Below are 12,322 nucleotides of genomic sequence, written 5' to 3'. Positions count from 1 at the left end.
GTGAGACTCCGTCTCAAAAAAAAAAAAAAAAAAGTTAGTGGCTGGGTGCGGTGCCTCACGCCTGTAATCCCAGCACTTTGGGAGGCCGAGGCCGGCAGATCACAAGGTCAGGAGTTTGAGACCAGTCTGGCTCACATGGTGAAACCCTGTCTCTATTAAAAATACAAAAATTATCAAGGCGTGGTTGTGTGCGCCTGTAATCTCAGCTACTCGGGAGGCTGAAGCAGGAGAATCGCTTGAAACTGGAAGGCGGAGTTTGCAGTGAGCCAAGATCAGGCCACCACGCTCCAGGCTGGGCAACGAGAGCAAAACTCCATCTCAAAAAAAAAAAACAAAAAAATTAGCCAGGCATGGTGGTGCAGACCTATACTCCCAGCTACTCAAGAGGCTGGGATTAACCAGGCATAGTGGTGCAGACCTATACTCGCAGCTCCTCAAGAGGCTGGGGGTGGAGGATTGCTTGAGCCCAGGAGGTTGAGGCTACTGTGAACTATGATTATGCCACTGCACTCCAGCCTGGGTGACAGAGCGAGACCCCATCACACACACACACACACACACACACAAATCGTGTGATGCTGTCACTTGATAAGTTATCCCATTCATGTAAAATTAGGTGATTTGCTCCACCTCCCAGGCTCAAGTGATCCTCCCACCTCAGCCTCCCAAGTAGCTGGGACTACAGGCCCGCACCACCATGCCCAGCTAATTTTGTATTTTTTAGTAGAGACAGGTTTCACTATGTTGGCCAGGCTGGACCATATGTGCTTTGTAAAACCCTTCCTTAATTGTAAAACATAAGACACAGAGAAAAGCATATCAGACATAAATCTTGTGAATTATTGTAAAGCAAAACCTGACACCACCAAGGTCAAGCATGAGAATCTTGCCGGCCACGGCCAACCCTCTGTGTTCCTTTCCTGCCCCAAAGGCATCCACATCCTGGTTGTTGTAACATTATGCTAATCACCTCCTTGTCTTTATACATTTTTTTTTTTTGAGATGGAGTCTCGCTCTGTCGCCCAGGCTGGAGGGCAGTGGCGCCATCTCAGCTTACAGCAACCTCTGCCCCCTGGGTTTAAGCGATTCTTCTGCCTCAGCCTCCCAAATAGCTGGGATTACAGGCGCACACCACCACTCCCAGCTAATTTTTTGTATTTTTAGTAGAGATGGGATTTCACCATGTTGGCCAGGCTGGTCTCGAACTCCTGACCTTTTGATCCACCCACCTCGGCCTCCCAAAGTGCTAGGATTACAAGGGTGAGCCACCGCGCCTGGCCGTCTTTATACTTTTACTACCAAACATACACTCTCAAACACTATAATAAAGTTCTTGGCTGTTTTTGAAATTCACATGTCAATGGGATCACATATATTCTTTTGTGTTTGGTTTTTCTCTCCTTGGTGTATGTTCAAGACTCATTCATGTTGTTGCATTTAGTTGTACTTCATTGTTTTGTTACCAATAATATTACACTGTATTAGGTTGGTGCCAAAGAAATTGTGGTTTTTGTCATTACTTTTACTTATTTATTTATTTTAGAGGAGTCTTACTCTGTCACCCAGGCTGGGGTGCAGTGGTGTGGTGCGATCTTGGCTCACTGCAACCTCACCCCACCGTTGGGGTTCAAGTGATTCTCCTGCCTCAGCCTCCTGAGTAGCTGGGATTACAGGCATGCGCCACCATGCCCAATTAATTTTTGCATTTTCAGTAGAGATGAGGTTTTGCCATGTTGGCCAGGCTGGTCTCGAACTCCTGACTTCAGGTGATCCACCTGCCTCGGCCTCCCAAAGTGCTAGGATTACAGGCGTGAGCTACTATGCCTGGCCTTTTTTCTTTTTTTCTTTTTTCTTTTTTTTTGAGACGGAGTCTCACTCTGTTGCCCAGGCTGGAGTGTAGTTGCATGATCTCATCTCACTGCAACCTCCACCTCCTGGGTTCAAGCAATTTTCCTGCCTCAGCCTCCTGAGTAGATGGGATTACAGGTGTGTGCCACCATGCCCAGCTAATTTTTGTATTTTGAGCAGAGAGTTTTGCCATTTTGGCCAGGCTGGTCTCAAACTCCTGACCTCAAGTGATCTGCCCACCTCGGCCTCCCAAAGCGTTGGGATAACTGGTGTGAGCCATCGCACCCACCCTGTCATTACTTTTAATGGCCAAAACCACAAGTCCTTTTGCAGCAACCTAATGTGACTCCATCACACTGATCATGCATTCCACTACAGATGGACACCTGGGGCTGTTGTTACATAGAGAATGCTGGTAAGGTGTGTACGTACAGCACCTAAATCACTGCTGGGCCACAGCACAATCTTAGCTTCAGCTCTATGAGGTCATGTCACTGATTTCCCCAGTGATGGCACCAGCTCGTACTTCTACTCCCTTAGCCTGTCTGGCAGGCAACTCATTGTGGGTTTAATTTGCATTTTCCTGCTTATCGCTGTAGTTGAGCACTTCTTCATAAGTTTATTGACCATTTGTTTCTTTTTCTTCTTTCTTCTTTTTTCTTTCTTTTTTTTTTTTTTTTTGAGACAGAGTCTTGCCTTGTCACCCAGGCTGGAGTGCAGTGGCGCGATATCGGCTCACTGCAACCTCCGCTTCCCGGGTTCAAGCGATTCTCCTGTCTCGCCCTACCGAGTAGCTGGGACTACAGGCGCGTGCCACCACGCCCAGCTGATTTTTTTTATTTTTAGTAGAGACAGGGTTTCACCGTGTTGGCCAGGATGGTCTCAATCTCCTGACCTCGTGATCTGCCTGCCTCGGCCTCCCAAACTGCTGGGATTACAGGAGTGAGCCACCATGCCCGGCCCTTCTTTTTTCTTTTGAGACAGGGTCTTGCTCCATCACCTAGGCTGCAGTGCAGTGGTGCAATCACAGGTCGCTGCAGCTTCGACCTCCTAGGCTTAAGCGATCCTCTTGCCTCAGCCTCCCTAGTAACTGGGACTACAGACACGCACTACCACATCTGGCTAATTAAAAAAATGTTTTGTAGGGATAGAGGCTCACTTTGATGCCCAGGCTGGTCTCAAACTCCTGACCTGAAGTGATCCTCCCACCTCCGCTTTCCAAAACTCTGACGTTATAGGCATGAGCCATCATGCCGGGAGATTACTGGCTTTTATAGAGGCATAAGAGAATGTTGCGGAAGGTCACAACTGCTGCTCAGGTGCCATCAATCCTCAGGACCCTGTCTGCCTGGGATTTGCTATGGAAGGCTCAGCAGAGCAGAGACCAGGAGATGCTTCAGCTGTTCACAGGTCCTGCCTTTGGCGATGGTTAGCGGAATCTGTTTCTGTGCTGGAAAGAGAGCTGGCAAAGTTGGGGTGAGAAACATCACACTGGAATAGGTTAATTACATGAAATGAAACTCATTTGCGTAAATTATTATAAAACACAGCACAAGACATTTTAGGTACGATAATTGGTTTGACAAATTATATTTCTGGAGTCGAAATATACAGACATGTTCCTTGTGAAACATACAGGCGTAACACAGATTGTAGGTTGGTTTTGAACATACTGTGCAAGTTTACCATCACCAGAAGCTCCTCAAATTACTGTCAGGAGCAGTCATGTGGTGTTGTGCAGAGTAACGTACAAAGCGAGCTTCCAGCCGCTGGTAAATACAGAGACCATATGGATGCCTACTGGGACTTCCATTAAACATTAGGGACTTCAATTAAAGGGAGATAGCAAGTTTTATCTTGTTTGCTGGAGAGTAGATTCTGTTGAGCCAGGGACCTGGACTTTTCTTTGTCTACTCCTGATCCTTGTTATACTGCAAAGGGGCCTCGATCCAGACCCCAAGAGAGGGTTCTTGGACCTCACATAATAAAGAGTTTGGGGCAAGTCCATAAAGTGAAAGCAAGCTTATTAAGAAAGTAAATGAACAGGCTGGGTGCAGTGGTTTACACCTGTAATCCCAGCACTTTGGGAAGCCAAGGTGGGCGGATCACTTGAGGTCAAGAGTTCAAGAACATCCTGGCCAACATGGTGAAACCACGTCTCTACTAAAAATACAAAAATTAGCTGGGTGTGGTGGCGTGCACCTGTAATCCCAGCTACTCAGGAGGTTGAGGCAGGAGAATTGCTTGAATCCGGGAGGTAGAGGTTGCAGTGAGCTGAGATAGTGCCACTGCACTCCAGTCTGGGCAACAGAGCAAGATTCTATCTCAAAAATAATAATGATAATAAAGTAAAGGAATAAAAGACTACTCCAGGCCAGGCGTGGTGGCTCACGCCTGTAATCCCAGCACTTTGGGAGGCCGAGGTGAGCGGATCACCTGAGGTCAGGAGTTCGAGGCCAGCCTGGCCAACATGGTGAAACCCCATCTCTATTAAAAATATAAAAATCAGCCGGGCATGCTGGCATGCGCCTGTAATCCCAGCTACTCAGGAGGCTGAGGCAGGAGAATCACTTGAACCCAGGAGGCGGAGGTTGCAGTGAGCCAAGACCGCGCCACTGCACTCCAGCCTGGGCGACAGAGACTCCATCTCAAATAAGATAATAATAATAATAATAAATAAAAAATAAAAGAAAGTAAAGGAATAAAAGAATGACTACTCCACAGCCAGAGCAGCAGCATGAGCTGCTGGACTGAGTATACTTATAGTTATTTCTTGGTTCTATGGTAAACAAGGGGTGGATTATTCATGAGTTTTCCAGGAAAGCAGAGGGCAATTCCTGGAACTAAGGTTTCCCCTCCTTTTCAGACCATATAGGGTAACTTCCTGACGTTGCCATGGCATCTATAAACTGTCACAGCACCGGTAGGAGTGTCTTTTAGCATGCTAATGTATTATAATTAGAGTATAATGAGCGGTGAGGACAACCAGAAGTCACTTTCATCACCATCGTGGTTTTGGCTGGCTTCTTTACCGCATCCTCTTCTATCAGCAGGGGCTTTGTGACCTGTATCTTGTGATACCAAACCTGCTGACCTCCTATTTCATCCTGTGACCAAGAATGCCCAACCTCCTGGGGATGGAGCCCAGCAGTTCTCAGCCTCATTTTACCCAGCCCCTGTTCAAGATGGAGTCGCTCGGGTTCAAACACTTCTGACCCTTGTACTGTGGCACTGACCTGATCAATGTATCCTACTGTGAAAGGAAAATAAATCTCGGGACCCCAAGATCACTACGCCAAAGAGAAAAGTCAAGCTGAGGGTCGCATCAGACAAACCTGCCTCCCGTTTTATTCTTCAATAAGATAGCTAGAAAGTTCAAAAGAGCTACATACCCCCCTCACAATTTCTCCACAAGCAAATTCCTTTCGGGCCTCAAGATCTTTGCCCTAAAACAGTTCTGATGAATTTTCCCTGGCAATGTAAATTGATAGCTTATCTTCACAGGTACAATGCAGAAAGTCAGCCCTCCGCTCACTGAAGACAAATGCATATGTGATTTCTTCCTCTGTCCTATTGTTTATACAAAATGCAGATTCACTGAGCCAGACAGTGAGTAAGGCATATGTGACTATTCCTCTACCCACTCTCACATGTAAATTGTGTATTCAGTGAAAGGCTGATCACAGACTCAAAAGAAAGCAAACTTTTGGCCGGGCATGCTGGCTCACGCCTATAATCCCAGCACTTTGGGAGGCTGAGATGGGTGGATTACCTGAGGTCAGGAGTTCAAGACCAGCCTGGCCAACATGGTGAGATCCTGTCTCTACTAAAAATAAAAAAATTAGCCTGGCGTGGTGGCACACACCTGTAGTCCCAGCTACTCAGGAGGCTGAGAAAGGAGAATCGCTTGAACCTGGGAGGTGGAGGTTGCAGTGAGCTGAGATCTCACCACTGCACTGCAGCCTGGGTGACAGAGTGAGACTCCCTCTCAAAAAAAAAAAAAAAAAAAAAGAACTCGGGATAGGGGGACATGGGTCCCCAAGCCCCTGAATTCAGGAAAACTATATTGAACTTTGTCACCACACATGAAAACTGCAAGGGGCCACAGAAAGCTCCTAATTCAATGCCTCTTTTTCATTTTTTTTCAATGCCTCTTTTAATGTGGAAACTAAAGCTAAAGAGGAGATAAATGGCTACAGAGTGTCACAGGCAGGACAGAACCCAGGGCTCCCTACCTCTAGACTGTTTCTCCAGCAGTCTAGCGACCACTCATCCTCCTTTTTTTTTTTTTTTTTTTTTTTTGAGACAGAGTTTTGCTCTGTTGCCCAGGCTGGAGTGTAGTGGCACAATCTCAGCTCACTGCAAGCTCCGCCTCCTGGGTTCACCTCATTATCCTGCCTCAGCCTCCCGAGTAGCTGGGACTACAGGCGCCCGCCACCACGCCCGGCTAATTTTTTGTGTTTTTAGTAGAGACGGTGTTTCACCATGTTAGCCAGGATGGTCTCATCTCCTGACCTCATGATCCACCCGCCTCGGCCTCCCAAAGGGCTGGGATTACAGGCGTGAACCACTGCGCCCGGCCCACTCATCGTCCTTCTGCTAATAGCACCCTGATCTTCCTCTGAGGAGCCACCCCCTGTGCCTGGCTGAGCCCTTATGCTTGAGGGGGGCTCTGCCCACATCTCCAGACCAAGTCCACAAATGCCAGTCCCTCAGGCCCAAGCTAAAGTCAGGGTCAGACACAGGACTCCACAGAGCCATCCGGGGTGAACAAGAGGCTTCTGGGGGCGTTTTCTTCCACTGGAGCTGGCCTGTGTGGGGCTTCCCCAAACATGAAGGCCCAGGAAAAGCCTGTGTGCAACCCCAGAAATGAGACAGAACTAGAGGGGGAGCAGGAATAGGTCCCTAGGTCCAACCAGGTGACATTGGTTTAGCTCAATGTCGGGTAGTATCTAGCCTTCCATCAGATGCCCTTTTTTTTCTTTTTTGAGAAGGAGTTTTGCTCTTGTCGCCCAGGCTGTAGTGCGGTGGCACAGTGGCACGATCTCAGCTCACTGCAACCTCCACCTCCCCAGTTCAAGCGATTTTCCTGCCTCAGTCTCCCGAGTAGCTGAGATTACAGGCATGCGCCACCACCCCTGGCTAATTTTGCATTTTTACTAGAGACGGGGTTTCACCATCTTGGCCAGGCTGGTCTCAAACCCCTGACCTCAAGTGATCCGCCCGCCTTGGCCTCCCAAAGTGCTGGGATTACAGGTATGAACCGCCGCACCTGGCCGACATCTTTCTTTTTTCTCCTTTCTCCATCCTAACCTTGCCAGTTTTCTGCCAGGCGGGATACAGTGTTTTCAAATCCCAGTTCCATCGCTTACAACGTGAGTCGCTCCATCTCTGAGCCCGTGTTCGCATTTGTAAAATGGGAATGACGCCGCCAGCTCTTTGGGTTGCTGGGAGGATGAAATGAGAAGACCCAAGTAAAGCACTTACGTCAGTGCCCGCCACCCCGGGAGGACTCGCATATTACTATTAATATATTAGGCCAGCTTACACTGGGTTTTGTCACTGACAATAGAGTTTGAGCAATCCAGGGCCTGTTACTGACACCACACCATGCTATAGTCACAAAATCACATATGCTTCCAGGACTCCTCCTCGAAAGAGTAAAGCTTTAAGTGTAGTGTGTGCTCAAGGGCTACGTTTCAGTTCGATGGATACCAGGAAGACACCTGTTCCCTGCGTCCTCTCCACGCCCCAGGCCGGGCGCCCACACCCTGCTCCTCCTGACGCCGCACAGCCACGCACCCAGGTACCCTCTCCGCCACCCCTTCTCCTCGCCTGCAGGCGGTGTCCACACCGCCCTCTCCGCTCCTGCAGACCGGGTCCTGGAGGGCGGCCGGGCGGTCCACGGGCCGGTGTCGCGCCGCCAGAGAGAACGCGGCAACTCGCTTCAGCCGACTCTGGACTCCTGACCTGGCGCGACCCCGGAAGTGGGCGGGCGCGCGACCTCGAAGCCAGCACCGACGCGGCGCACCGCAGCCAATCGCACGTCCCAGGTCGCAGCGTCCTGGCGAGGCTGGCCAATGGGCACGGGGCCTGATGCCGCTTCCGGCCCACCCTCTTGCCCGGTCCCCGGGAGGGCCGGTCCGCTCCTCCCGGACGCCGAGGACCTACCACCGCGACTTCGCCCCGCCCGGCGCGGGCCCAGGTGAGTGCAGAGTGGCGCCCCAGCTGCAGCGGCGGCCAGGGCCGTGGGAAAGAATGGGGCGATGAAGGGCTGGGCACGCCGCCTTCCCCACCACCCCCAGGCTGTTTGCTCGCGGGGAGGGAGGAAGGAGGGACCGCACTTGTCATCTCGCCTGCACACCTGGAAGGTGCCGCCCCCGTCCCCTGCCCTGGAACGCCCACAGGCTAGCGAAGTTGCCTGGTGCAGGTGACGCCCCCATTCCAGCCTTTGGACTGGAGCCATAGGAGAAGCGGATCGCGGGATCCTGGTTGTTTTCGAGAATCACGCAGCAAGGGGCCTGCCTATCCCTCTCCCTGGGTATTGATGGGAGCAAATCTGCTTGTCGTAAGATTAGCTTTGGCAGATGGTCAGGGCCCAGAGCTCCGACATATGCTACTGGTGGCAGTGCAGGGGCCCCACCTGTCACCCAAGTGCACAGCACTGGGCTGAACGCCAGGCTGACTCAGGACACCTCCTGCCCGGTGGGGCTGGGCGGACCCTATTCTTCAGGAAAGAATCAACTACCATGCAAGTTCTGCTGCTTTTTCCCACCTTTTAGGACCCTGATGTCGCTTTTGAACAGCCCCTGCACCTGGCAGCCAGCGAGCTACTGTAGTAGGCATTGCCGACTGTTTGCATACCGGATGGGAGTGACAGTGTAATAGAAAAACAAGCAAGAAACCTTTTAGGTAGGACTCCTAAGGCTCAGAGGAAGTAAGTGCTTGCGGAGCGTTCTTTGTACTGTGTCTTTTCCTCTACCACATCTCTGTCCCCGCCTCTCTTGGGTGCTTTTTTTGGTCTCTGAAAGGATCTGTGAATAAACTGAGACAGAAAGGCAGATGGCTTTGAGGGTGGCGAGCAGACCTTCTTCGTGGAAAGACTGAAGGTTCAACTCAAATTCATCTTGTAGAAATTCTTGGTGAATTCGAGGCTGCTGATTTGGAAGATTTTCCTCCATCCCTCTAACCCTACAAAACAAACAAGTCCCAGGATCCCTGAATCATGGGGCTTCATGTTCCAACCCCCCTTTCAAGAGTCCTCTGACCCAGTGACCCTGTGTAAGTTGCCTGATCAGCTCACAGCCAGAAAGTGGCCCATGAGGAGCTAGGGGGAGCCTCTTGGCAGAGGCAGAAAGAAAGTGTGGCTGACCAAGGATGGTTACCGGATGTCAACTGTAGCTAGGAAGTGACGACAGGTGCCTGGGTCTCTACTCTGAAGGGAGTTTGTAAATACAGCAACCCCCCACCCCTCCCTTTCACTGTAGCAGAGTCTTCTCCCATTAACTGCCCAGAAGATTCAATGATGTCTATGAGGAAATTAGTGCTTAGTCATTTATTTGAAGGAAAGTCAAAATCTCCTTTCATTGAGCTCAACCTGCAGACTGAGTCTAGCTAAACTGCTTGCTTATCCAGTGAATTCTGAGCTATCTTTGTTTTGTTGTTGTTGTTGTTGTTGTTTGTTTTCCTTTTTGAGACAGGGTCTCGCTCTGCTGCCCAGGCTGGAGTGCAGTGGCACAATCATAGCTCACTGTAGCCTCAAACTCCTGGGCTCAAGTGATCCTCCTGCCTCAGCCTCCCAAGTAGCTAGGATCACAGGCATGTGCCACCACACCTGGCTAATTTTTTTTTTAACTTTTTATTTTTACAGAGATGGGGTCTCCCTGTGTTGCTTAGGCTGGTTTTGAACTCCTCGGCTCAAGCGATCCTCCCACCTCAGCCCCGGAAAGGGCTGGGATTACAGGCATGAGCTACTGCACCTGGCCTCTGAGCTATCTTTGAAGGCTAACTTATATTTAACACTATAGAAAGTGACAATTAAAAAAAAAAACCTTCGTCTTCCCCTAGCATTTTATTGAGGATTTTCCCACATACAGCCAAGTTGAAAGAATTATACAGTCAGCATCCCCATCCCCACCAACTAGATTCTACTATTGACACTTTACTTGCTTTATCACATATCTGTCCACCAATTATGACCTTACTTTTCAAGTTATTTGTGGCATTTGTTTTCCCTGGAGAAGTATTTCTGTCTTAGATCAGGGAGTTGGCAGTGTGTTGGAGGTAGGTGGTGGTGATTATCCTTAAATGTTGTTTCAACACCCACTGTGTGCAGAGACTATTATGGAAATGAAGAGGCTGAAGACTCAGACCTGAAAGGGACTTGGTTTTTTGTTTTTCTTTTTTTTTTTTTGAGATGGAGTCTTGCTGTGTTGGCCAGGCTGGAGTGTGGTGACACGATCTTGGCTCACTACAATCTCCTCCTACCAGGTTCAAGCGATTCTCCTGCCTCAGCCTCCCAAGCCGGCTAATTTTTGTAGTTTTAGTAGAGACGGGTTTCACCGTGTTGGCCAGGCTGGTCTCAAACTCCTGGCCTCAAGCAATCTGCCCGCCTTGGCCTCCCAAAGTGTTGGGATTACAGGCATGAGCCACCACGCCCAGCCCTATTCTGCCTTTTATAGATTAGGAAATTAAGGCACAGAGAGGTTAGTTAGCTTTTGGTGGTACAAGAAAGTGAGGATCCCAGAATGCAGCATTCTGAGATCCAGGCAGCTCTGGACTCTCTTAGTCACTGTGAAGGTGCCAGAGGGACCCTCAGTCCTGATCAGTGAGGCACGAAGGGGTCACCAGGGGTCCCAGCTCAGTTTCAGATGGTTCCAGAAAGCTGGTGTTCTGATTTTCTCATATGTTTGACGGGCCTTGGTGTCCTGGGATGGAGGGGGTCAGCTGCTCTGGGAGGGGCTCTTACTCCCCGGGCTTCCTCCATTCTGCTGGGCAGTCTCCCTCCTATTCTTTTCCCCCACTTCCTGTTATGGGAGTTTCCCAGAGCTGAGCTTTTGTTCTGCTTCCTGTCTTCCTGTTCCTCACCCTCTCACTCACTTCCTTCTCAACCTGCAATCTGTCTTCTTGGTGTTTGTAAGATATACCTTGTCCCAGCCAGGGCCAGGGGCTCCTGCCTGTAATCGTAGCACTTTGGGACGGATCACCTGAGGCCAGGAGTTCGAGACCAGCCTGGCCAAAGTGGCAAAACCCCATCTCTACTAAAAATACAAAAATGGGCCAGATGTGGTGGTGCAGGTCTGTAATCCCAGCTACTTGGGAGGCTGAGGCAGGAGAATCACTTGAACCCAGAAGGTGGAAGTTTCAGTGAGCTGTGATTATGCCACTGCACTCCAGCCTGGGAGTAGAGGAAGACTCTGTCAAAAAAAAAAAAAAAAGATGCACCTTGTCCCCAAAGAGCCTAGTTTTTTGTTTTGTTTTTTTTTGAGACGGAGTCGCACTCTGTCATCCAGGCTGGAGTGCAGTGGTGCAATCTCGGCTCTCTGCAACCTCCACCTCCTGGTTCCAGCGATTCTCCTGCCTCAGTCTCCTGAGTAACTGAGATTACAGGCACGCGCCACTGTGCCTGGCTAATTTTCACCTTTTTTTTTCAGTAAAGATGGAGTCTCACCATGCTGGCCAGGCTGGTCTCAAACTCCTGGCATCAGGTGATCCATCCGCCTTGGCCTCCCAAAGTGCTGGGTTTACAGGTGTGAGCCACCACACCTGGCTTTTTTTTTTTTTTTTTTTTTTTTTTTGCCGGTGGCAGCTGCTCCTCTTTTCAGACATGCTTCTATCTCGTGCCATCGTCACAGTCACCCGGCCGTCTGGAGCACCCGCATGGCTCTGGTATGCTGCGGGAGCACTGGGCCCAGCCTCCAGGCACCTAAATAAACTCTGCCTGTCTCCTTTTGCTCCGGTTTTTAAGTCAGACTGGCCATGTCTTCATCTGTAGGCTCTTTCCTCTCTTCAGGCCCCGGGCCAGTGTCCTGGGTTGGATCTAGGAGCCGCCCTGTCGGGCAGAGCTTCTCAGGTGATGGCCCTGGTGGCTTCATCCAGTAGCTCTGTGTTTGGCTGCCTTGTGTGTGGCCATGTGGCCCTGCCACGGTGGAAAGACTGTTCCTATCAGGAGCCAGGACTCCAGGAAGGACACCCCTGGGTGCAACAGCACTATGGGCCCTGGAGGTGGGGCCAGGGGTGGTCAGTGGCAGAGCTTAGCAATAGCCTTGGCTATGCCTACAAAGCACAGAGAAAGAAGAGAGAAAGGGCTGGGTGCAGTGGCTCACGTCTATAATCCCAGCGCTTCGGGAGGCCAAGGTGGGAGGATCGCTTGAGGCCAGGAGTTCAAGACCAGCCTGGGCAACATAGCGAGACCCCATCTCTACAAAAAAAATTTTAAAAATTAGCCAGGTACGGTGGCACATGCCTGTAGTCC

At 50.2% G+C, this 12,322-nt stretch overlaps 1 protein-coding gene and 1 long non-coding RNA gene across 6 annotated transcripts in view, besides 4 other annotated features; one reads left to right on the top strand and one right to left on the bottom strand.

The window, feature by feature from the left end:
- Positions 1-3,422: 3,422 nt before the first annotated feature.
- LOC124901706 (uncharacterized) lies at positions 3,423-7,820 on the bottom strand. The gene is made up of 2 exons (XR_007060448.1): positions 7,651-7,820; positions 3,423-7,295 (listed from the first exon to the last, which is right to left on the bottom strand). It is a non-coding gene; the product is annotated as an uncharacterized LOC124901706 (long non-coding RNA).
- Positions 4,548-4,842: an enhancer, noted in NCBI's record as "tiled region #13100; K562 Activating DNase matched - State 9:DNaseU". NCBI's record gives its function as "activates a minimal TATA promoter and a strong SV40 promoter by Sharpr-MPRA in K562 cells {active_cell/tissue: K562}" and the evidence as "EXISTENCE:reporter gene assay evidence [ECO:0000049][PMID:27701403]".
- Positions 7,557-8,300: an enhancer, noted in NCBI's record as "H3K27ac-H3K4me1 hESC enhancer chr7:97881191-97881934 (GRCh37/hg19 assembly coordinates)". NCBI's record gives its function as "activates a minimal SCP1, AML or CMV promoter by ChIP-STARR-seq in naive H9 embryonic stem cells {active_cell/tissue: H9 hESC(naive)}" and the evidence as "EXISTENCE:reporter gene assay evidence [ECO:0000049][PMID:30033119]".
- Positions 7,661-7,760: a silencer, noted in NCBI's record as "silent region_18392". NCBI's record gives its function as "represses an Ori minimal core promoter by ATAC-STARR-seq in GM12878 lymphoblastoid cells {active_cell/tissue: GM12878}" and the evidence as "EXISTENCE:reporter gene assay evidence [ECO:0000049][PMID:35858748]".
- Positions 7,851-8,240: a silencer, noted in NCBI's record as "silent region_18391". NCBI's record gives its function as "represses an Ori minimal core promoter by ATAC-STARR-seq in GM12878 lymphoblastoid cells {active_cell/tissue: GM12878}" and the evidence as "EXISTENCE:reporter gene assay evidence [ECO:0000049][PMID:35858748]".
- Positions 7,947-12,322, top strand: part of TECPR1 (tectonin beta-propeller repeat containing 1) — a 37,609-nt gene continuing 33,233 nt past the window's right edge. For 3 of the 5 annotated variants that reach the window (XR_428174.4, XM_017011937.2, NM_015395.3), the window contains exons 1-2: positions 7,947-8,053; positions 8,631-8,785. The gene's annotated coding sequence lies outside the window, so the exon portion shown is untranslated. The remainder of the gene's footprint in view (positions 8,054-8,630; positions 8,786-12,322) is intronic. The other 2 variants (XM_047420119.1, XM_005250253.5) reach the window with 1 other exon arrangement.

This window comes from Homo sapiens, chromosome 7, assembly GCF_000001405.40.
Source record: "Homo sapiens chromosome 7, GRCh38.p14 Primary Assembly".
NCBI classification, from domain to species: domain Eukaryota; kingdom Metazoa; phylum Chordata; class Mammalia; order Primates; family Hominidae; genus Homo; species Homo sapiens.
This window is presented reverse-complemented; position numbering and strand designations above follow the sequence as displayed.